Below are 26,268 nucleotides of genomic sequence, written 5' to 3'. Positions count from 1 at the left end.
AGCCTGTGCTTTTGAAGGCATCTTTGAGGTTGATAACAGAATAGTGAGTTGTGGAAGCGGGTATTGAAGATAGGAGGGTGTACAGGTTTGGCACTATAAGATGGATGGGAAGGACGATTTGATTAATAAGGCAAAGATCCTGAACCAACCTGTAAGACTTGTCTGGTTTCTGGATGGGTAGGATAGGGGAGTTGTAAGGAGAATTTATAGGCTTTAAGAGGCCATGTTGTAACAGGTGGGTGATAACAGGCTTTAACCCTTTTAAAGCCTGTTGTGGGATGGGAGATTGGCATTGAGCAGGGTAAGGGTGATTAGCTTTTAATGGGATTATAAGGGGTGCATGATCGGTCACCAAGGAGGGAGTAGAGGTATCCCATATTTGTGGATTAATGTAGGGAGACACAATGGGAGGATGCGAAGGAGACTTTGAACTGGGGAAAAGGGTGGCAATGAGGTGTGGCTGTAGCCCAGGAATAGTCAGGGAAGCAGATAATTTAGTTAAAATGTCTGGACCTAATATGGGAGCTGGGCAGGTGGGGACAACTAACAAAGAGTGCATAAAAGAATATGTCCAAGTTGGCACCAGAGTTGTGGAGTTTTAAGAGGTTTAGAAGCCTGGCTGTCAATACCCACAACAGTTATGGAGGCAAGGGAAACCGGCTCTTGAAAAGAAGGTAATGTGTAGGGGGTAGCCTCTGTATGGATTAAGAAGGGGATGGACTTACCCTCCACTGAAGCATCTATAGTGGTCCAGGGTGCTTCCAAGGCAATTGGGCTGCATCAGTCTTCAGCTGCTAAGCCAAGAAGATCTGGGAAGGAGTCAATCAGAGAGCCTTGGGCCAGAGTTCCAGGGGCTCTGGGAGTGGCTGCCAGACAAGTTGGACCATCCAATTTCCAGTGGCGTCCCGCCCAGATGGGACACGACTTAGGAAGAATCATGGGCTGCAGGCATTCCTTGGCCTAGTGGCCAGATTTCTGGCACTTGAAGCAAGATCCTGGGGGAGGAGGCCCTGGAGGAACACCTGGCTGCTGCGGTTTAGGCATTCTGAAGTTCTTGTGTGCTGGAGATGTGGCTGGGGTTTCTCTCACAGCGGAGGCAAGTAATTTCAACTCAGAAATATGTTGCCGCTTCACTGCCTCTTCTCTATTATTGTATACCTTGAAGGCAAGTTTAATTAAGTCCTGTTGTGGAGTTTGAGGGCCAGAATATAACTTTTGGAGCTTTTTCTAATGTCGGGAGTGGATTGGGTAATGTCAGATATGAGTTCTAAATTTCATTTCAAAGAATCAATATGTCAGTATGTTCAAATCTTTGCCTTGTACTTTTAAACTTAACTTCCTCATAAAGCAACCTTTTTCGATTACCTGCTCCACCATGACTCAATTCAATCACTGGCTCCACCCTGACTCATTTGAATCACCTGCCCCACCCTGACTCATTCCAATTACCTGCTACCTGCTCCATCCTGACTCATTCTCCAACCTGCATAATCATTTTTCCTGCCAAACCACTCACCCCATCTCTCTCTTTAAATTAACCAATTGGAATTAGTTTAGCCTGTGCGGTCTAACCCTAGCCAGTAGCAGAACTAGACAGCAGCAGGGGCCACATGCGTCAGGGATAATAACCCCCTCCCCTCCCTTGTCCAAGTATTCACTCACCATTGCTTCATCTGTAAGGGTGCACCCTTCTATAGAAGTAACTTGCCTTGCTGAGAATTAAAAAGAAAATTTTATATTCCAGTGCTACTTCTTTTGTCACACTGAAACTTTATTTAAAATAAATGTATATATATAAACTTTATTTATAATAAAATGCATATTAAGAATAAGACTGCCTTCTGGCACCTCTAGATCTAGGGTGATAAAGCGTCTAAGTGTTGTTGCCAAACGGGCCATGGACGGGGCTGGGTTTTTATATTTGATGAAAATCCTAACCGATTTGGGAAAGGTTGGATAAAGAAAAAAGGAGCATTAACCTTGACTTTGCCTTTAGCTCCAGCCGCCTCTCTAAGAGGAAATTGTTGGGCAGGTTGGGGAGAGCAGGTTGCGGAACGAAACTGTAAGCCAGACCGGGTGTGAGAAGGGGAGGTGATAGAAGGATTATAGGGTGGGGGAGTGGAGGCTGAGGAATAATTGGGACATAGCTCAGCCTTGTGAGGAGCAGTCTGGGGAGGAGGGGAGAGGTCAGATGGGTCCATAGAAAAGGAGGATTCAAAGGACTCAGAGCTTGGAGTGGAGACTGAAGGAACAGATAGGAGAGAAAGAAGGAAGATTTGGGATGAGTCACAGTGGGAACAGAGACTAGTGGGGGACTGATGTGTAAAGAATGCCAGGACATCATGCACCTCAGACCATTTGCCCATTTTACAACAAAAATTATCTAGATCTTGTAGGATGGACAAATCAAACGTGCCATTCTCTGGTCACTTGAAAAAATTGTCGAGTTTGTACTGGGGCCAAGCAGTATTACAGGAGAAAAAAGATGTTTAGGTTTTAGATCAGCTGTTAGTTGAAGGGATTTTAGGTTTTTAAGAATACAGGCTAAGGGAGAAGAAGGGGGAATGGAGGGCAAAAGTTTGCCCATAGTGAAGGAGGTAAGTTTAAAGAGAAAGGTAGAGACACAGAGAAGGGGGTGAGGGTGAGCAGCCCTGGGCTGCAATGTGGGTGAGCAGCCAAAGCAGGCATCCCCACAATTGACTTGCCACCAAGGGAATGTTGGTGACTGACCAAGGCAGGCATACCAGCAGTGATCAGAAACCAAGGGAAGACTGTCTTCCCAAATCCATGACCGACATCAGAGTTTTTGAGTTCAGGGATAAAATGTGTCTCTTTTGTCTCTACTAGAGAGGTAAAAGAACTGGAATTGAAAGGACGGGGAGATTAAAGGGTAGTGAAAGAGGCTGGAGAAGAGATTGAAGAGACCGCTTACCTTATTTGAAATTGGTGAGATGTTTCTTGGGCTGGTCTGAAGACCTGAGGTCGTAGGTGGATCTCCTCACAGAGTGAGGGCGAAGACAGGGGGCCGGCCTCCTGAAGGAGTCCCCCTGTGCCAGGACTTTGGCACCAAATGTTATGTATGTCCATGTGAAGAGACCACCAAACAGGCTTTGTGTGAGCAATAAAGCTTTTTAATCTCCTGGGTCCAGGCGGACTGAGTCCGAAAAAGGAGTGAGCAAAGGGAGATAGGGGTGGGGCAGTTTTATAGGATTTCAGTAGGTAGTGGAAAATTACAGTCAAAGGGGTTTTTTCTCTTGCAGGCAGGGGCAGGGGCCACAAGGTGCTCGATGGGGAGCTCCTGAGACTCATTGTCCAAGAGAAGGAATGTCACAAGGTCAATTGATCAGTTAGGGTGGGGCAGGAACAAATCACAATAGTGGAATGCCATCAGTTAAGGCAGGAACTGACTATTTCACTTCTTTTTTGGTTCTTCAGTTGCTTCAGGCCATCTGGATGTATATGTGCAGGTCACAGGGGTTATGATGGCTTAGCTTGGGCTCAGAAGCTGACACTTTCCAAGTATGTTCCCAGGCTTTGTTGATGTCCCCTTCAGCAGCTGGCACCATATTCACATTTCCTTTGATCCGGAGGGAGCTTTGGGTGGGCTGTGCTCCCTCCTTCCTTAGAGGTGGTCTGCTTTGAAGGTTAGATCTCCAGGGGAGTGGGGTCCACCTCTTTCCCATTCCTTGGAGCTGGTGCGGCATTCCTCCCCAACTGACTGAGGGAGCAGGCTGCGGAACCCAGCAATGCCACACAGACCAGACCAGCTCCAGGTCTCAAAGCTCTCCCTGGCTCCAAGCCTTGCTGCCCAGGTGAAACCTTGGCCTCAGCAACTCTCTTCTTGCTCCAGTTCTGCAATGGGAAAAGGCCTAATTCTAATGTGTTCTCTGGGGCACTCTCTGCAATTGCTGGCCACCAAACAATGACTGAGCTTGTATGAGCTGAGATTAAAAATGGCATTCTCCTCTCAGTCTTGGGCCTGGGAGAATGCCTGCAGCTTTACCCATGTCTTTTCCTTTTTCTATCTCTCAGCTGCTCCCCAAGTTAGCTCCAGGGCTTAGGAGAAAGAAGGTGCTCTTCCTTGGCCTGGGTGGCACAGATCCTTAGTGGAAAGGTGAGGCACAGAGGGTGACTGACCACCCCTCTTGTGTACTGGGCTTCACTCACTTTTATCAGGCAAGGGAGCTGCTTGCCCACCTTCTCCTCCCCGGGCTCTGGGTTGGCCCTCACTATTTCAATTAGTTCTTATTTTCCTTCTGGAATTAAGGCTAATCAAGTTGATTTTTATGCACTGTGTTTGCTATTTCCAAGTGGCTGGGGCATGCTATAAAGCCTCTAATCTGTCATCTTGGAAAAAAATGTTAATGTTCGTATCATGCAAATATTTTAACCATAAATAGTTAAGAAAATTATAAAGGAAATAAGAACAAAGATTGCTTAGGAGCTTCTCATTATTAATTGTTATTGTTTATCATCCTTCAGCACAGCTCAAAAAATTTATTGAGAACACTATGGCTTATAATCTTGAGATGGTAAATTTAAAAAAATAAAATATTTACTACATTGCTCTTTTCCAGTTACTATAAACTTTTAATCTTATTTACAAAATAAGTTATGTTAAATATTTGACATGATTTTAACCATCAATTCATATATAGTTTAGAGTTTAACTAGTAATAAGCTTCTGAGATTTACAAGCTTCACGTTTGCAAGAGTCATGTACATGCTACAGGCTATTAGAGAATCCACGTGGAATAGAGGGGATTGAGCCTATACACTTTAAGTTTTGGTATGCTAATAATTGTGAGATCTACGTTACATCCTTTTTTTGATCTGTCATTTTCACCACAACTTTTCTGAGAGGTTTACATAAATTATTTCTTAAGCCCTTTTCACTTTCTGAAGTTATTTTTATGTAGTGCAAGTACTTCCGATTTTTCTATTGAACCAATTGCGTTATTTTATTTTATTTTTGAGACAGAGTCTCACTCAGTTGACCAGATGGAGAGCAGTGGCATGATCATGGTCTACTGCAGCTGAGACCTCCTGGGCTCAAGCAATCCTCCTACCTCAGCCTCCCAATCACATGATTCTATGAATGAAAGACATCAATGGAAGAAAGTGATCAAAATACTCAGAAAGGCTTGCCCTATCATCAAAATTTATTTGAAATCAAATCCCTAAGGCATCATGTATTTTTCTAACTCTCTTATTATATAGCAGTTAAATTACTTATTTTTTTTTTGTTTTCAAAACCAATCATATAAAACGGAGTCCCTCAGAAAGCAGCATCAGTTTAACCTATGACTATGAGTAGCTCTCAAGAACATTATAGAGAACTATCAGAAGTGTAGATTGGCTGGATGCAATGGCTCATGCCTGTAATAAAAATAGTGAGGCCAAGATGGGAGAATTGCTTGAGGCCAGGAGTTTGAGGAAATACTTGGCAACCTAGTAAGACACCATCTTTCCAGAAAATTAAAAAATTAGTCAGACATGTGGCCAATCTGTGGCACATACTTGTAGTCCTAGTTACTCAGGAGGCTGAGGTGCAAGAAAATTACTTGAATACAGGTGATCAAGGCTGCAGTGAACTATGATCACACCACTGCACACAAGCCTGGGCAACAGAGGGAAACTCAGTCTGAAAAAAAAATGAATTATGTATTTGCCAGTTTGTAAAACAAGCAGCCTTGTGGGTTCTCTTGCACAGTGTTTCCTCTAAAGTATCTTGTGGACTATGATCTTCAGCACCAAACTAACAAAGACATGCAGATATGTATGCCCTTTTATTTTAAGCTTTTAAGAAGCTAGTATTCAAGGAAATCCTTGGTATTGAAAAACTCGTTGATACCAGTATTATTAAGCTTCAAAAGAAGCAAACCTTTGTTGCAAAGTGAATTACACAAAAGGCAACATGTATATATTGAAAACCTTAATTTATCCACCGTGTCTTGTTCTTTGGGATCAACATTATATTAATATAGCTATATATCAGTTCATCTTTGGCGTCTGGATAGCTTTTACTGCCTATATTTATATGAGAATCTAATACCAAAACCTGGAACAAGTTTTAAATTTAAGCCCTTTAAATTTAACTACACTGTTCAATATCACTATGTTCTCCAATTTCTAAGAACTTATTACCTAGAGTATTGATAGGTAATGGGTGTCAGGATAAAATAACAATACAGCTAAAAGAAGATTCTTATTCTTAAGCTGGTTTATAGAAAAAGAATTGGCTAGTGTCCAGTGCTATAGAAATGCTATGTAACCTTATGCCTGAGACTGAAAAGCTTGGGCCTAGCATAAAAATAAATAAGGCTATCTCCATAGATAGCAGACATCCAGCCAGAGCACACAACCACACCCCAATGCCCCCCACAAACACACACACAGACACACACACACACACACACACACAAGAGATGCAAAAATAGGAATATTATCTGGATAGAAGTTGTAGAGTAGAAGAGTAGTCCAAATTACAAGCTATTTTTCCTTTGTTTTTCTAAGAATTAATTCTATAAAAAATACAATTTTAAGTATTTAATAAAATGTATCGCAAGAGCCTTCAGAATATATGAGATTACTGTAGTAACTCTTTTATAGTAAACTATTCCAGTGAGTTTCAGGCATGTAGAAGCTAAACTGGAAAGTTTTAATATTTGAGGCCTAATTCCAAGACTTCCCTCCTGCAACTGCCTGTGGAAATCACATCAGACAGCATGTTTTCCCTAAGGATCTCCAATTGCCAGATTGCCATACTCCTAAGCCTTCTCACCAACCTCCACATCCATTCTCTCCTGCCTTTCCTTCTGCTGAGCATATGTCAATCCCAGTTTCCTACCTAATGAAATTCTAATCATCTTCTTTTGCATAACATCATCTTCCATGAGAAGCTACTTTCATTTCACAGAATTAACTGTAGCATCTGGCCAAGTACAAGGCGTGTGTTATGGAATGGATAAATATCTGTTGAATCAATGAATCAATTCATCCAAAAGACTTTGTTCATGCTCCAAGGAGAGAACTTAAAACATTATATTATGACTCAGAGTCTACTTTTACAGTTGTCTCCAGCATATTGTGAACAGGCTGAGACCCTGATTTTTTATTCAGTTGCCTCCAATTTTATCAATGCCTAGCACATCATGTCAGGTACTCACAGTATATTGGGATTGGATTGTCAAACTGGCATTGTTTTAACTACTCAAAGCTTCACCATCGCTTATATTTGATAATGACCTTACAGATAACTAGTCATTCAATTTCTACCCTGTTCTAAAAATCTGTGACCCTGTTCTAACATAACTTATTGGCTTTTACCTTAGAATATTGATGTGATTTTTTAAAAATTGTATGAGTAATTGAAGTGATTAAAATTGGTCAAATGATCTCTGTTCTTCCTTTCTATTCTAAAATTTTCAAAATGATAAATAGCTTAGTTGATATAGTTATCTTATACTTAAATTCCTGTGAAAATAATAAATACCTATCAGTTGTTTACCTATATGGCATTTTAGTAAGTTGGTTACAAAATGTATTAACCTGAAGTATTCAACATTACTACATTCTTACTGGTCAAATTACCCAGTAAAGATTTTCCAAATATATTATTTTAGAATTTTATCTATGTATGTATTTATTTCTCATGCATTTCTGTATCAATCAATATATCTTTTTATCTGGTAATGCCCATGTATATATTATTTTTAACTCAAATCCTTCAAAAACATGGATTACAGGGAGAAAAACTAATTCAGTTGCTCTCAATATCAATCACATCCAGCAGTTATGTAATTTCTCTATTTTTGAAGGCTCTGGAAGATTATAACAAGCTTGGATTATGTTGTTTCTCTGTTCCATGTGTCTAACATGTATTTTTATTTCTTAAGGCACATGTTTCTGCAGAATACATTTTACAGATATATTAAAACAAACATCTCACATTTTCATTACAAAGTATTTACTAGGAAAAATATGCTCATTGCAGAAATCTAGTCTTTTGGGCCTAGTGAAATATTTAATTTTCTTCTGGAACCCTTATCTATTGCTGTAAGTTTAGATATTTTCAATTCTCTCTTCTTTCTGATTTCATAAATGTGTACAATATTATGTCACTCACTATAAAGTCTGTTATGCTGAAGCTATTATCTAGAATATATTAAAGCTATAATAATGTCTCTGCTCATAATTATACAAAGTTGGAAGTTATTTTAAAATGTATTTGAAAATATTAGATTCAAAGAATTTCAGATGTTATACTTTAAAATTGAAACTTAAATCTTTATAACTTCATAACTCTATGAATATATTTATGGAATATATTTAATATATTCATTATCTACATCCCCTGTTTTTTGACCTTCTACAACAAACTACAACTAGAAAAGCAAGTCACATTAATGAGTCTACAATTTGGAAATACAATGACATATTTCTCTCAATTGTTTATAATTCAACATTTGACATTTTGCATATTTATTTTAATACTTTCCATATTTCATCTGGAAATATATTGCAAACCATATTTGCCATATACAATCTACACTATCCTAGAAAAGTATCTAAATTTAGATAATTGATAGATTTCAAGTTTCTTGCTATACTGATGCCTATGTTTCAGTTTCCCAATATAGTGATATTTGTACCTGACTAGAATAAAATTTCAATTATTTATCAATTAGAGAAACAACTACAGCAGTTTCACCTTGAATTAAGACAAATTATCACATAAAATATTAAATAGTAAGCAAAACAATACCAGCAAAAACATGTCAAACAATTAATAAAGGATAGTGCTTTTTTCTTAAGTAATCAGATAACTACCCAATTAATCAAATAACTACCCAATGACAAATATTTTATTTTACTAATTAAGAAAAGGATAATTTACAATGCTTGCCTTACTTATATAGCCAATAGTAAACTCTCAGTAAGAAGGACATTTCTATTCTAAAGAAAGAAGACAAACCATTATAATAGTGTATTTGCTCATTATAGTGGGCAGAACTATACATATACGTATGCAGAAATATAGACATTTAGAAATACACAAAGTGTATAGGAATATATATATCTGAGCAAAGTGTATTCCTAAGAACGATGAACGCACAGTAGAAGCATTTGTTCCCAGTACTGAGCCAAGCTTATTTAATTAACATATTCCTTTAATGTTGAGACTGAAATACAACTTAAGAGTCGGGGTTTAAGAAAATTTGGTTATTGGTAGAATTCTTATTGATATTTTGTATATGTATATGGTTAAATTTTTTAAAATTAATCTAAAAAGAAATAAAAACAGTTTAATTAGTTTTTAAAGTGGGAGTTTCTAATAATGTGTGAATAAACCTTAACTTCCCCAACTTGTTTATAAACTTTTCAAAATGCTTTTAATAAACAGAAAGTTATATTTCTTCTATGTACTTATAAATAAGATTTTTTATCCCTTTCCCTGACACAGAGAATCAAATGCTACACCATAATTAGTACATGCCACATCGTAAGTTCAAACTACTTTCATTTGGACCAAAATTTTAAATTTTGCCCACAACGTACTTTAAAAGTCATGTGTGTTTATATCATTGTATTTTTTGGAAGTTGGGCAAATCATTTAAAACAACACAAAACAACTAAAACTCTGTTATTTATTCACACTATGTTTTTTAATAAAATATGTTTTATATCAAACGATAGGAATAATTATAGAAAAAATTCTCTGTCATTTAATTTAATAAATTTAGCTGGATAACAAATTACATTTATCTTTTACTAAGGATCAGCAAAAATTTCAGAAGGGTTGGTGAGTGATCCTGAATTCAGAAGCCCCTGTTATAACGGACCATCCTTTTTTCTGCTGAGCTATTTTCTTTTTTGACATGAAAGTGCACTGAATACAAAAAGAAATGAGAGTACTGCTTCCAGCTTTATGGAAGACTGAGTGTTCTAGGGAATATATCACTTTAGGGCAGTCTGATCCTGAATAGCTTAGTTGTTTCCACAGGAGGTAGAAAAGTCTACCAATCTCTCTTGCTACTTGCCCAAGGAAATAGGAGAACAAATGACAGATTACTGGAGCTGGAGCAGCAGGCAACCTGGAAGGCCAGGGTTCCCTTGAGAACCTCTGTTCATAGAAGCCCAGATAGCATGTAATGATCAGAGCCTCGGAATCCTTTATTGGGCCTGGATTCTGGATGTAGACTGATAAAAAGCTTAGTCAGCTGTGATATCTGGTAACCATAAATAACAAATTTTTCCAATGTAAGGTGGCAAGAATACCCCAATAGTTTGTTAATAGAATGACATCATTATAAAAATCAGAGAGTCAGTTAACAGTAGAATTAGATCCTCAAGGATTGCTTACATTAGCAATTACATTAGTGTTCAGATAAAGATACTATAGTGGCTGCTATGAAAACTGAAAAGAAATAAAGAATATAATCACAACTGTATTTAGGTAATAGAAGATTATCAAGAGTAGACATGGATACTCCAAATAAAGGTATTTGACTTAACAACCACTGAGTGACCATCAAAAGACTGAAAATAAAAAAAAAAAATTGTAAAAAATGTTATTTCAAGAAGAAAGAAAAAATTCCTAGAAAAATGTGCTAAAAGAAAAAAAATGGAGAGCAAATAAGAAATCCAAATCCAAAAATAATTGGCTGCACAAATTACTATTACCTTGACTAGTACTATTAAAATAATAATAGTGCCTAATGGTGAAGCTTTAAAGATAAATAGGGCAAAAAGTCTGGAGAAACATAGCATAGAAGCTAGAAGGGAGAATTTAGCATTAGATATTCCTGATACTCGACATTTTTAGTAGATGAAGGTATAAACTCTAAACAGAAGAGAACAGAACTGGAAAAAGCTGGCTCCTAATCATCTTCTTAGTTTCTAAACATTTGACTCCCTAACAGCTCTTTCTTAGATATTTTTCTTTTCCTTAACTCTACTCACTATTCAAGTGATCTCCTCTAATATTATGGCTTTAAATTTCATCTTTATACTAACCATTTTTAAATTTATATTTCTAGCCAAGTAGCTTGAGAGATGTTGATTTCTTGAGTCTCTCTTGAGATACTTTGATTTCTCTCTATATTTGGTGGTCCATAGAAAAGCCATTTGCAAATCCTGTTGACTCTACTTTTGAAGCTGGAAAATTCTCACACCCTGAATCACTACTATCCTCAGCCAAGCCACCATAATTTGCCACCTAATACTCGGCCTGCTTTAGCTCTTTTCCCTACAGATGAGTCTCGACACAGCAGTCAAAGGGATCCTTTTTAATCTAACACAGATCTTTTCACTCCTCTTTTGAAATGCCCCCAGTTACTCCCTACCTCACTGAGAAGATAATTCAAACCCCATAAAATCTCCTGTAATTTCCAATTGATTGCGGATCTCTCTCTACAAATTTTCTCACCTCATCTCCTGTAGCTCCCACTCTCTTCCTCTGCTTTGTCTTACTACCATGCTTGCTTTTCCTAGAACAGGCAAAATAAAATTCAGGTTTGGCTTTTGTTACTTTTGCCTGGATTCCTTACCCTTCAAGGAGCCAGTCATTTTTCTCTTTCTCCTACTTCAGAAAACTGCTCCAATCTTACCTACTCAAGGAAGCCATCATGGCCACTTTCTGTAAATAGCACACTCATGGGCACTCCCAATATCTCTTCCCCACATATGGTTCCCCATGAACTTTTGGTATCGATAATAATTATCTATGTGTGTGTGTTCATGTGTATCTACTTGCACACACCTATTTATTATCATCTTTACCTCCCAACTAGAAATAATACTGCATGAGCAAACATTGTCTCAGGTTTTTTCATTGTTATATGCATAGTGCCTAGAGCAGTGCCTGTCACATAGATGGTTCTTAAGCATTTGTTAAATGAATTAATGATTGATTGAATAAATAAATAAATAAACCAGTAGCAGTATGTCTTGGTTCCAGAGTTGTCTCTAAAATTATACACAAAGTACCCCAGGAATTTCAGAAAAATTCAGTGAGTCATAACTATCTAATTATATTTTTTAAGTTAAAAAAAAAGTTATTTTCTGTTAATATTTGAAAGATAGGATCTGTGTTGCTACATTCTTGGTCTGAATTTCAGAAGAAAACAAACAATATATTATATATGGAGAGTCCTAAAAAATGTGGGAGGTGTATGTTTTTAGTAGCAACTGATTCTTTAAAAACAGTTGTGATATATTGGAGAGTAAATTGACTTAAAGATTATTTAGCATACTGCAAACTAAAATATTTCTCATAAAATTGACTAGTTGTTAAAAACTCCTGTAATAAAAGCTTCAATTAAACATAATAGAAGATGATACTAATAATGCAAATATAAGTGACAATAAACAAAATGCCAGAACTAGGATTTTACCAGGCTGGGTGCGGTGGCTCATGCCTGTAATCCCAACACTTCGGGAGGCTGAGGGGGGTGGATCACGAGGTCAGGAGCTCAAGACCATCCTGGTCAACATGGTGAAACCCCATCTCTACTAAAAATACAAAAATTAGCTGGGCGTGGTGGTGTGCACTTGTAATTCCAGCTACTTGGGAGGCTGAGTCAGGAGAATCGCTTGAACCTGGGAGGCGGAGGTTGCAGCAGAGATTGCACCACTGCACTCCAGCCTGGCAACAGAGCGAGACTCCGAAAAAAAAAAAAAAAATCCCCAAATGAGATAGGTAAAGAAAAATCAAAATTGCCAAAAAAGTTATTAGAAGTATGCCTTAACATTGACTTGCTTATTGTGAATCTTACCATATATGGATATTTTCCTTGAACATTTATTATTGGTAAAGTAAATAAACTTACCTTGTAAATAAATAGGAAGCAGAACAAGTTTTTACTTAGAATCTGATGATCAGAACAATTTAGTTACCACTCCTTAAAAAGAAGCCTTCTGCTACAGTAACCAAAACAGCATGGTACTGGTACCAAAACAGAGATATAGATCAATGGAACAGAACAGAGCCCTCAGAAATAACGCCACATACCTACAACTATCTGATCTTTGACAAACCTGAGAAAAACAAGCAATGGGGAAAGGATTCCCTATTTAATAAATGGTGCTGGGAAAATTGGCTAGCCATATGTAGAAAGCTGAAACTGGATCCCTTCCTTACACCTTATACAAAAATCAATTCAAGATGGATTAAAGATTTAAACGTTAGGCAACAAAAGACAAAATTGACAACTGGGATCTAATTACACTAAAGAGCTTCTGCACAGCAAAAGAAACTACCATCAGAGTGAACAGGCAACCTACAAAATGGGAGAAAATTTTCGCAACCTACTCATCTGACAAAGGGCTAATATCCAGAATCTACAATGAACTCAAACAAATTTACAAGAAAAAAACAAACAACCCCATCAAAAAGTGGGCGAAGGACATGAACAGACACTTCTCAAAAGAAGACATTTATGCAGCCAAAAAACACATGAAAAAATGCTTATCATCACTAGCCATCAGAGAAATGCAAATTAAAACCACTATGAGATACCATCTCACACCAGTTAGAATGGCAATCATTAAAAAGTCAGGAAACAACAGGTGCTGGAGAGGATGTGGAGAAATAGGAACACTTTTACACTGTTGGTGGGACTGTAAACTAGTCCAACCATTGTGGAAGTCAGTGTGGCGATTCCTCAGGGATCTAGAACTAGAAATACCATTTGACCCAGCCATCCCATTACTGGGTATATACCCAAAGGACTATAAATCATGCTGCTATAAAAACACATGCACACGTATGTTTATTGCGGCATTATTCACAATAGCAAAGACTTGGAACCAACCTAAATGTCCAACAAAGATAGACTGGATTAAGAAAATGTGGCACATATACACCATGGAATACTATGCAGCCATAAAAAACGATGAGTTCATGTCCTTTGCAGGGACATGGATGAAATTGGAAATCATCATTCTCAGTAAACTATCGCAAGAACAAAAAACCAAACACTGCATATTCTCACTCATAGGTGGGAATTGAACAATGAGATCACATGGACACAGGAAGGGGAATATCACACTCTGGGGACTGTGGTGGGGTGGGGGGAGGTGGGAGGGATAGCATTGGGAGATATACCTAATGCTAGATGACGAGTTAGTGGGTGCAGCGCACCAGCATGGCACATGTATACATATGTAACTAACCTGCACAATGTGCACATGTATCCTAAAACTTAAAGTATAATAAAAAATAAAAAATAAAAAAAAATAAAAAAAAAAGAAGCCTTCTATCTCCAGGGTATGGGAGAGCTTCAGCTTCTTTTTCCCAATTTGGATCTCTGTTCCCTTACCCATTTATTCATTCTAAAAATATCCAACTGTAGTATTAATCTAGTCAATTTGCTTATTTAAAATATAACTAAATAAATTTACTCTATTATGATTAGCCCTCTTTATTTCTACTCCCACCTAAACTTAGGTGGTACACATTATTTCTTTCTTTATAAACTGTGAATTCAAATTTGAAGCTGTCAGTTATTAAGACAGATATAGTTATCTTTGCTGACTGAATGTAATGACAAAGTACTATCTGTCATTTGCTTATGCATATGTATATAGCCTAATTAAATTGGCATGAAGTTGTTACCAAAACACCAGCAGTGTGGTCTAAGTGACTCTGCTTGCTGTACAGAAAGCCAATCATTGGGACAACTACTGTTGACAGAGAAGAAGGATTTAATCAGGTACTGTAACAAAGGAGATGAAAGATCAGTCTCAAATCCACCTTCCTGACTAAGATCAAGGTTCCATACAGCAAGGAGGATGTGTACCTATATGCAGAAAAACAGGAATTAGGGAGGGATAAGGAAGAGAAGCTGGTCAACAGGAAGCGGGTGTTCACTTAGGCAATCATGATGGGTAAGGGATCTGGCATCTTATTGTCCAGATGCAGTGATCTGGTCAGTTTCAGCCCTTTGATACTATCTGGAAGGCCTGATGGTTGGTTTACTGAGAAAGGAACTAGATAAGACAAATGTAACTTTCTCAAGTTTTAAGACTGGGAGGGTCAATTTCTATGTTTATTCAAAAGAAATCATAAACATTTGTTCTGTGGGATAATCGGGCCAGTTTCAAAATCAACATGGCATTATTTAAATTACTTAACAATATTAAAAATGAGATTAAGTATATAATTGCATGATTCTTTGAACAGAATAGTTTGTCTATTTTATTTAAAATATTTATGTATGCATAAACACCTTTAATCTGAGGAAAGTTTTTTTTTTTAATATGGAAATATGTTTCTTGCAGTTGAAAATCTGCCTAATGCAAATTAAATATCATTTTCTAGATAAGAAACTTATTCTAAGACCAAAACTTAGAAAATATGCTTGTATTTAAAGCTTATTATATGAAAAAAAAAATGACATTTCAGTGTGTACAATGGTATCCTTTGCTTATCAGCTTATTACTTCAGATAGGTAATAGTTAACCTCGTATAAAATACTGTGTTTGCCATACAATAGGTCACAGAAAAATATCTGTCAATAAAAAAGCTCTATAAATCAAGAGTCCTCAGAAGTGCATTAAAATGCCCAGTTGGGAATATCACTTGAAGCTAAGTTTTGGCCTCTGGGTTTTCGAGCAGCATTGAAAACTTTTTTTTTTTTTTTTTTTTTTTTTTTCAGTAAATTCTCTGCATCTTATATAGGCCTAATGTGGCCTTCATGGAATCCCACTCACCAGATCCCATGGTGCAGCAAGAACCTAAGGTCAAACACTCTTAATAGGGACACTTGACCTGAAACATTTGCAGATATACAGAAAATGTTTTTTCCACGTGTGGTTAAATTCTTTCTGAGAATATAATAAACTAAATGAAACAAACATAAGTAGGATTTTTCCAGCTGGTATGGTGAAGTTTGTAGGGAACATAATAAATGTTAGTGATTCAGACTATAAATTAGGGTAAATACAAACTTGTTTACTAATCCAAGAAGACTGAATTTTACAGAATTTCTGTACAAATTAATAAAATATATACTTACGGGTCTTTACGAGACTCAAATAATTTCCTAAAAGATGAATTTGGTAAATAGTGTAGAATTTTATTTATTATTTTTTTGAGACAGAGTCTTGCTCTTGTTGCCCAGTCTGGAGTGCAATTGTGCGATCTTGGCTCACTGCAACCTTAGCCTCCCAGGTTCAAGCGATTCTCCTGTCTCATACTCCAAAGTAGCTGAGATTACAGGCATGTACCACCATGCCCAGCTCATTTTGTATTTTTTAGTAGGGATGGGGTTTCATCATGTTGGTCAGGCTGGTGTTGAACTCCTGACCTCAGGTGATCCACCTGCTTTGGCCTCCCAAAGTGCTGAGATTAAGGCATGAGCCACTGCACCCAGCCAATATTGCAGAATTTTTTAAACCACATAAAATATTACTTATACATGTTACAGTAATAATTGATTACTTAGGTAAATTGTAGTTTTCTGGCATCTATTCCAAGAGGTAGCATTATGTATATGTATATGTGTATATATATATATGTATATGTGTATAGATAGATAGATAGATAGATAGATGTGTGTGTGTGTGTGTGTGTGTGTGTGTGTGTGTGTGTACAGCCATATATGTGGGAGTAGGGGTATGAAATCTGATAAATAAAGGTTTGAATCTCAGTTCTACCTCTACCTTACATTCACTCTGTGATCATGGGCAAGATATTTATTTATTATCCACCCAACAGTGAAGTAATTTAATTGAGTGGTTGTGAATTCATATCACATGAGAATCACATATCACATGAGATATGTGATTCTCATGAGATATGCCTGAAAATAAGTAGTGTAAGTTCTGACTTTTATTATATTGCAAGTAAAAAATTGTTCTCTTTTTTTTCCATGAACTTCCCTTTCATATTGATTTTGCTATCTTGAGTGCCAACTGTATCCTCTGTAAACATACACTGAATCACTGATAAAATCCATGCACTCTTCTGGGTAAACCAATAATATGATATAATACGGCATGCCTTATAATCTTTTTTAATGGTTAAAAAATACATAATTATTTACAAAAGAGAATTTGACAGTTAGAAAGCATGAATTATTTGCAGTACAGTCAGCACTATTTTAAACAGAAAATATCTTTTTGTCTTTGCAGATTTGCATTACAAGAAAGACTGACGGATTTTAAACCACACCTAAAAGAAAAGAAGTGGTGGCGAATAAATTGTAGACTCTCCCAACTCATCATGTAGATATATTATACAAGCAAATTACTAGCAGTCTTGGAGAATATTCAATGAATGCCTTTACATGTTTGTAAGCAAATATAAATTGTATCAGAATGTTGAGAGATTGTAATTAGTGGAAATAACTAGCTGAAATAAAATTTTAAATAACGTGTTTCTAAGAAGTTAAACAATAGGCCTAAGACTTTTTTCACACATTATTAACCTCTAGGTAGAAGTGCTGTTAATTAGTAGAATAATGTTCAAAGAAACAATAATAGGATGATACAAGAAAATCCTTGCTAATGAACACTGGCTTTGATTTATGTTTTTGCTCAGAGTTTTCCAAGAAATATGCACATTTATAAGAAATTGTGGATCACATCATTATATTTTCTTGAATTATTTGTGTCCTCTGTTATCTCTCTGACAATTCCATGAAGCTCGAAATTTACTTTAAAGAAAAATAATATTACATTTTGTATTAACTCAAAAGGTTTCTCCCTGAGGTAAATGATGTTATATTCTGAAACGAACTATAAGTAATCTAGATGCCTATCTAGGAGAATATGAAAAGTTAGGTTCTGCGTTTTTCTACCACACAGCTTTAATGCTTTCTCATTAAACAAGCAAAGATAGGTCCCTATGGCATGGCCCGTTACTAGTGTTGCCAGTTATTAATGTTAAAAATAGAGCTAATGTTAAATTCATTTATTTTCTTATGACAGTGGTCCCCCATTATCCCTGGGGGATATGTTCCAAGACCCTCAGTGGATGCCTGAAACTGTAGGTAGGACCAAACCCTATTTATGCTATGCTATATTTTTTTCCCAAACATACATACCTGGGCTAAAGCTGAATTTGTTAATTAGGCACAGTAAGAGATTAACAACAATAATAATGACATAGAAAAAATATAACACCATACTGTAATAAAACTTACGTAAATGTGGCCTCTCAAAATATCTTACTGTACTGCAGATCTTAGACCCCTCAGTATACAATTTTTTTCCTTATTAAATTGAGAACTTTTGCCTTTTCACTTAAAGGAAGCACTTTGCAGCTTCTCTTTGGCATATCCAAATTGCCAGTATCACTACTCTTGCACTTTGAGGTCATTATAAAATAAAATACCGGTTATTTGAATACGAGCACTGCAATACTGCCACAGTCATTCTGATGCCTGAGGTGGTTGACTATCAATCAATGACTGACTAATGGTTGGTAGTTTAGATAGTGTGGGTACCCTGGACAAAGAGATTATTCATGTGTCAAGTGGGATGGAGGGGTACAGTGAGAGATGTTTTTAAACTTATGAATTGTTTATTTCTGGAATTTTCTATTTAATGATTTTGGAACTCCACTGATCACAGGTAACTGAAACCATGGAAAATGAAACTGCAAATAATTAGGGACTACTATATTCAAATGTTGTCCTTCAAAAAATTCTCACCCTTCTCCCTCCCTTTGCCCCTTGCTTATTCCTTCCTGCCCTTTCTTCTGTTGTCTACTTACTCATCAAACACTTTTTGAACAGGGAACAAAGTAGACATTGGTTAAAGAAGAGGTTATATATTAACTCGTATTTATAGTCTCATGGTCTGCATTAGCTCTCTGAGTCTGATCTCAGGTGTTTCCTAGTGAAAACAAAGTGCTACTCCCTGATAATCTTTCTGTGTCCTTTTGAAAAAGCAACACATTTGCTCTCACCTAGCTTTAACTGTAAAAGATAAGTTTTTTAACACTGTGGCATTGAAAGTACTTTAGGTATTTGGCATTTCTTAGTATTTGGGGAAATATTGACGATTTCACTCAAAGAGTTTTGCTACTTATAATATAGATAGACATAATTATTTCTTTTTTTTTTTTTTTTTTTTTTTTGAGACAGAGTTTTGCTCTTGTTATCCAGGCTGGAGTGCAATGGCTCAATCTCGGCTCACTGCAACCTCTGCCTCCCGGATTCAAGCAATTCTTCTGTCTCAGCCTCCGAAGTAGCTGGGATTACAGGCATGGGCCACCACGCCCAGCTAATTTTGTATTTTTAGTAGGGACAGAGTTTTGCCATGTTGGTCAGGCTGTTCTTGAACTCCCTACCTCAGGTGATCCACCCGCCTTGGCCTCCCAAAGTGTTGGGATTACAGGCATGAGCCACCACGCCCGGCCTAACATAATGATTTCAACATCAATTTTAACAATGCATTAAGTTCAGCTATTTTCTAGTTTTGAGTAAATGGAAAATATTAATAAATAACTTGGAGCTAAGCAAACTTTTCTATTCTGTAAATCAGGCAAAAGGTTATTTTACAATCTTTCTTGGACTAGCTTAAATGTGAAGACTTAGCATACTGGTGGGAAAATAATAAGGTTTTATACAAGTTGAATTTTTAAAAATATGCCAGGAGATTTAAAAAACATCTACAGAAATACTAAAAGCTAAATGGTAAAATGAAATACATGCATGTGAATTGTTATTTATGTAAATAAAGTTTATCACACAATATATGCAGCAAATATAGACTACACATACATTTCCATGATTTTTTCTCTCAGAACAATCATCTTGATGTTCTTTCCATTTCTATCCTTGCATAATAATTTATTAACTAAAAGTCATAATGGGTGGTTTTCATATTCCATGAGTAAACATGAAGCTCATCATCTTCTTCCCTCTCTGTTTTCATATTTCAATATTTTCATATGATCCTTAATGTGAATAACTTGTTTATTCTAAAACAAATATTTTTTAGAATGGCCAAAATATATCTTTGAAATTTCTATAAATGGTGACTTTCATATGTATTCCAACTCTTTCTAGGTAAGTTTCAGCATAACAAAAATTATTTTTATAATTTTAAAATACTAGAACTGCTTGGACATTTGTATTTTCTTTGACCCTTAATTTTGCATATGATCTTTTACATACCAAGTTTTAAATTTTTATGAAGTTATACATACCAAATGTATTATTTAATTCCATCTATTATATTTTAAAAAATCTTCAGTTGACAGGCTGAAGAATCTTTGCTATCTTTTGTTTTACTTGTTTTATATTTTACCTCTAACTTTTTGATTGTCTCAATTTATTTGGTGATATGATGTACAGACTCAACTTTTTAGTTTTCACAAGTAGCTTGTTTTAAAAATATCTCACTGGTATGTGACTATCATTACAAAATTCTTGCAGAAACCTATTTTATTTATCAGAACATTTTTAATGAGTTATACTGCATTAATTAGGATACTGCATCAATTAATAAAGGCCAAATAGTGATTTTTAGAATAGGGATATTTGTTACTCTCGCGTAATAGTCCTGATGTGAAATTTTCGTGGTATTGGGAACCCAGGTGCTTCATTTCATTGCTCTGCTATCCCAGGCAAACAGCTTCACACCAATAGTACAAGACAACCATTTCAAAAAAGAGCTGCCAAGCTTCCTGTCTTTGAAGGCCACAACCCAGAAACTGTACATTATCACTGCTGCTTAAAACTCATTGGCCAGAAACTAGTCACAAAGACACATGTAGCCAGAAGAGATGTGAAATGCAAACTAAGCTGAACAACCATGTACCTAAGTAAAACTCTTTGTACTAAAGAAAATAAACTTTGGACACAAAAATGGGCATCTCTGCCAGACAAACCCAATTAACTACTGTGGCTTTGTGTTTTGACATCTGGTAAGGAAAATCTCTGCTTAATTCTTTTCAATGTCATACTTATTTTGGCTAGTGCCTCCATTTATTCTGCCAGAGGAATCTTAGAATCAGCTAAAAATAAGACAAATAAATTTTTTATTAGATCTTCATCAATATACAAATTACTTTGGAAGGAATTTATATATTTACATTATAATGTATTTCTACTAAGTAGACACTTCTTTTTATTTATCAAAAATACACACATACACATACACACACATACACACACACATATATATAGGCAGTATTCCCTTTTTCTTTTATTTTTAGCTTTAGTTTTTTCCTCAAAGCACTTAACTTCTAAAGTCATTCCTGTATACTAATATTTTATTGTGAGAAATAGGACCAGTAATTGTCAAAATCTAGAACAATTATTGATATTTGTATATTTAACTTATATATAGTCACCCTTGAATATGATTTATCCTAAAATATTTCTTCATTATGTTATCCACAAGGAACAGTGATTTTTCCCTACTTGAATCTTACTTTTTATCTGATTTCTATGTCCTCTCTTATATAACTGGCAATTATGACTAAAATTTTGTCAATTATTAACTGAGAAACAGGATGTTTTTGTCTTATTCTTAATGTTATGGAGACATCTATTTCTTCAGTTTTTAATACATTAATACCCTTTTGTTAAAGAAAAAATATTGTCTATAAATATATTTATGAGGAAATATATAATGATTTTATATCTTTCTCAAAAATAATGATACGATAAAACTTCAAATAGTTTTCCCATTGATTTCTTAATTGCAATACGCTTTCATACTTTCAATGGGTTTCCTGACATAATCATCTTTCCAATAATAGATAAGTTGGTCCTATAAAAGAAGTTAAGTAAATTACCAAGTAAATACTTGGTAGGTCTTTTGTTAAATGACCAAATTATATATGTTAATATTTTACTTAACTTTTTTAAAAAAATAGTGACCTTTACTAAATCTGGTTCAGGGTCTTAAATTGGGATTTTGTTTGTTTGATATGCGTTTTGTTACTAGGGCATATTGGATGTATATGGATAGTGTTGGTCGGAGCTCATACAAATTACACATTTATTAACTTAGTCAATAAATTACATAGTAAGATTTAAAAAAGTGGAAAATCAGTGCAGAGATAAGTCTCTAAAAAGATAGTCTGTGTATAGCATGCAAACCAGATGTGGATGAGGCAGCCAGAATATCTGGAGAAACATGAGAAACCCTAAGGAAATCTGACTTAAAGACAAATGTTTCTGAGACACTACTGTTCAACAGAAGTATATTGAGAGCCATTTTCCTAATTTTAATTTGTCTAGTAGCAACATAAAACAGTGAAATTAATTTTAGCAATGTACTTTGTTTATACTGATATAACAAAAAACATTTTAATATGTAATTAATATACAAATTATTAATGAAATTTTATTTTCTTCTTTCCCTCCGTCCCTTTTCTTCCTTCCTTTCTTTTTCTCCCACCTTCCTTCCTTCCCTCCTTCCTTCGTTAGCCTTCAAAAGCAGTGTGTATTTTATACATATTGCACATCTTAATTTAGACTAACTGCATGTTAAGTGCTCCATAGCCACTTGTGGCTAGTGGCAACTGTATTGTCTTAGGGTTTGACTCACTGTGGTATTTATCAATATAATATTCACTTGTGAACTCATTCACATTGCTGTACATGTTCAATCTTATTTACATCTATGAGTTAGAGTATGGGTTACAGTTTCAGAATCTAGGCATGACCTCCACATGAACTCCCTGATCCATAGGCTTTATTAGTTAAAATGGCCAAAATGGCGAAACCCCATCTCTACTAAAAATACAAAAATTAGCCAGGCATGGTGGCAGGTGCCTGTAATCCCAGCTACTCAGGAGGCTGAGGCAGGAGAATCGCTTCAACTCAGGATGTGGAGGTTGCAGTGAGCTGAGATCGCGCCACTGCACTCCAGCATGGGGGAGAGGGCGAGAATCCATCTCAAATAAATAAATAAATAAACAAAATGTAGATTACCTCAAGCCTGGCAGATATTGTTGGTCTTGATGGATAGCTTCGGATTATTTTCACATTCCGTTAAATATTTCATATATAATTCAGTACTTTGGAAAGTGGATGTGGATTTCAACTTTTTCACTTAAAAGTAGTTTCACTGAAGCTGTTTACTTACCAATCATTTAGCACAAATACATTACAGGATTTCATCTAATAAGAACTTTCTTGGACCTGCGATTCTGTAACAATAGGTATCAGAACACGTTTACTGTGATAAGGTGCTAATTTAACTTTAGTATTTTTTATCTGAACACATGCAACTCACCTGGATGACTGTGCCTGAGAGACTGGTGGTCCAGACATGTCCCCCATGTGAACTCTTCACTAGCTCTTTGCAAAGAAGTTTTTATCTTTTTCTGTGCACTGAAATAATTTGTGTAGCATGGGACTAATTTATTCTGTGAAACCGTTTGGTACAATCCTTCAATACAACTTCTGGATGTGGTATTTTGCCAGAATTCATTTTTGTATCTCTTCCATTTTGGTTGATCTATGAAGTTCACTGTCTCTTCTTATATCAATTATAATGTTTTTATAATATATTATGAGAGATGATAATTTCACTTATGACAATTTATGAATAATTACATTTTTTATAACCATTAATTTACTCAGATTTCCAATTCCAGTAGAATGGATTTGATATTTAATAATTGTTTACTTTTTAAGTAATTATTCCAATTTTAATTTTTAAAACATTTTGTCTTAATTATCAATTCCATTGTTGTATATTTTTATTATTGATCATGTATTTAATTTCCCAAGTTTTTCTATGCATTTTAATTATTAATTAGTGCTTCTTTTATTTCTTTCATTAAAATTCTATTTTTAATTACTAGTAAATTAACATTAACTTATAATTTTGTTAGATTTGTTGCTTTATTTCTGTTTTCAATACATCTGTTAATTTCATAAGCTAACTCCTTTTCCTTGTACACTAGATTGGGACAATATTTTGTAGTGCTCTATGAACACTTGGAGACATTTGTTTGTATAAGTAAAAATTTTATATTTATCAATTATTTTGCCTTTTGGTTGGTTTAAAATTCTTTGTGATCTCTTTTACTTGTCTACTTAATCCCTGATAGAAAACTGTATGTTAAAGTAACATCATCAAATTATAGGTTATAATAAATTAGGTTTTCATTGCTAAATGTTTTCTAGTTTATTGCTAGGCACTATATTTTTTCTATATATCAAAATCATGGTTTACAGGTTGTTGTTTTTTTCTCAGCATTTGAAATTTGTTATTCGACTGTCTTCTAGCCTTCATTGCTCTTAATGAGAAAATGATGATCAAATTGCTGTTTTTCTCTAAATCATGTAGAATATTTCTACAGCTGTTTTTTTTGAGATATTTTCTTTGTTTTCCTTTTTCAAGAGTTTAACTAGTCTGTGTTCATGCCTGAAATAGATTTTGTAATTATCCTTTTAGGGGGTTAGCTAACTTTTTGAATCTTTAATTTTTTTTTTTTTTTTTTTTTGGTCTTTCACATTTGAGAAGTTTAGAGCAATTATTTCTTCCAATACTATTCTCCTACATCCTATCTCTCCTCTCTTTCTGGGAATCCAATGACCTTTATGTTTCATGTTTGATATTATTCCACATGGCCCTGAGGTTCAGTTCACATTCTTTATTATATCTTGTTTTTCTCTCTTCTTAAAGTTGGATAATTTTTATTGTTCTGTCTTCAAGTTCATTGACATTTTACTCTAATATCTTCAGTCCTCTATTAAGTCCCTATGACAAATTTTAAAATTTCAGATATTTAACTTTTCAGTTCTAATGTGTTGTGTGTGTGTATGTGTGTGTGTTATTTATATGCTGGAATTTCCTACATTTTCATTTGTAATAGTCTATCTTCCTTTAAACACACTGAACATAGTTACAATGGTTGCTATAATATCCAAACTTAATAATCTCATCATTTCATCATCTGTGTTATTTTGAGACTGAACTCTGTTCTTTTCCCTTGAGAAAAGTTCAAGTTTTCTGATTCTTCATATATGGAGTAGTTTTAGATTACACTGGATGTTATATTGTGGAGACTTAAGATTCTATTATAGTACTCCAAACAATGTTGACGTTTATGTTTTTGGTGACAATTAACTTCGCTAGATTCAGACTTCAAATTGTGTCATACTTGCAGTGGACTGTGGCTCAGACCTCAGTTGATATTGCTTTAAATCTGCTTCATACTCATCTGGTTCGTAAGTTACCAGAAATTTGAATAACATTTATGCACGGAATTTAGCTTTCCTCTTCTTGGCCCTATTTTTGCCAGGCTGCCTTCCTCAATCTCAGGTGGTCCCAGTTGTTCCAGCTCCTTCCCTGGTATCTCTCGACAGAGGGTGGTGAGCTTTCTCTTAGAGTTTTAGTTGTTCTATGACATAACTGATGTAACCATGTCTTCCTCCAAAGCAAAGACACAAAAATGGGAAATTTATTTTATGATGATTTGTTACATGTTTTGAGAACCCTCCAAAATCTGCCTGCTTTTATTCACTCATTAGAATCATCCAGCAGTATTGATTTTTGCACTTGGTATAGTTTATAGTTGTTATCTAAGAAAATGATCACTTGTTTTTAACTTAGTACTCCATATTAGCTGCAGAACATCTTAGAAAATTTTACGGTTGTGAGGCAGGAGTCTGAACTAGGCAAAAGAACAACAAAACCAAGGCATGAAATGTTTACAGCTCAGGAGAACAGTATATTATTTGCAATAAAATATTATTATTTATATTTTGTTATCATAAGCTATTATTTATATGTCATTGAATTATCTATCATAGAATTTCTATGTATATAGGTTTTTATTCCTATAGAATTATTACTCCTATATCTTAGGATATCATATGATACATTTGGGAAATAGATATAAAATAGGTTATGGGTTATTATACTGGTGGACAAAAAAATTTTGAAAATATTTCTAAGAACAATGACATGATCAAAATTATATTCATGAATGATTATATTAGTAATAATGTATGGGACTCATTGATTTTCATATAGGCAAGGATCAGAAATTATAGGCAGAGTTAACCCAATAATCCCAAGGAAAAAGGAGAGTATGAACGAGAGTGTAGGGCAATAAAAATAAAGTGGGGAAATGACTGTATGACATGATACATATGGGAGTAGTAACATTTTCAGTGGCATTACGGTAACTCATAAAGCTAATGCAAACCTTAAAAATTTTTACATGTAAAACCTTTATAAAATAATATCAGGCTGAATTAGGACAAGGAAAGAAAATATTCCATATTAATTTCTTATTATAGCTTCAATGTAAACAGATAGTGATGTTGTCATTTACTT

At 35.2% G+C, this 26,268-nt stretch overlaps 2 annotated features.

Annotated features, from left to right (window-relative positions):
• Window positions 766–1,965: an enhancer, noted in NCBI's record as "P300/CBP strongly-dependent group 1 enhancer chr8:84457496-84458695 (GRCh37/hg19 assembly coordinates)". NCBI's record gives its function as "activates an origin of replication core promoter dependent on BRD2, BRD4, P300/CBP, MED14 and CDK7 cofactors, with strong dependence on P300/CBP, by STARR-seq in HCT116 cells {active_cell/tissue: HCT116}" and the evidence as "EXISTENCE:reporter gene assay evidence [ECO:0000049][PMID:35650434]".
• Window positions 9,325–9,816: an origin of replication, noted in NCBI's record as "S14 site of nascent strand synthesis determined by PCR of size-fractionated nascent DNA; promotes replication of a plasmid". NCBI's record gives the evidence for it as "EXISTENCE:fractionation evidence [ECO:0000100][PMID:9356241]" and "EXISTENCE:genetic transformation evidence [ECO:0005027][PMID:8107675]".

This window comes from Homo sapiens, chromosome 8 (assembly GCF_000001405.40).
Source record: "Homo sapiens chromosome 8, GRCh38.p14 Primary Assembly".
Taxonomy (NCBI): Eukaryota; Metazoa; Chordata; class Mammalia; order Primates; family Hominidae; genus Homo; species Homo sapiens.
The sequence above is the reverse complement of the archived record's forward strand: the minus strand, read 5'-3'. Positions and strand labels throughout refer to the sequence as shown.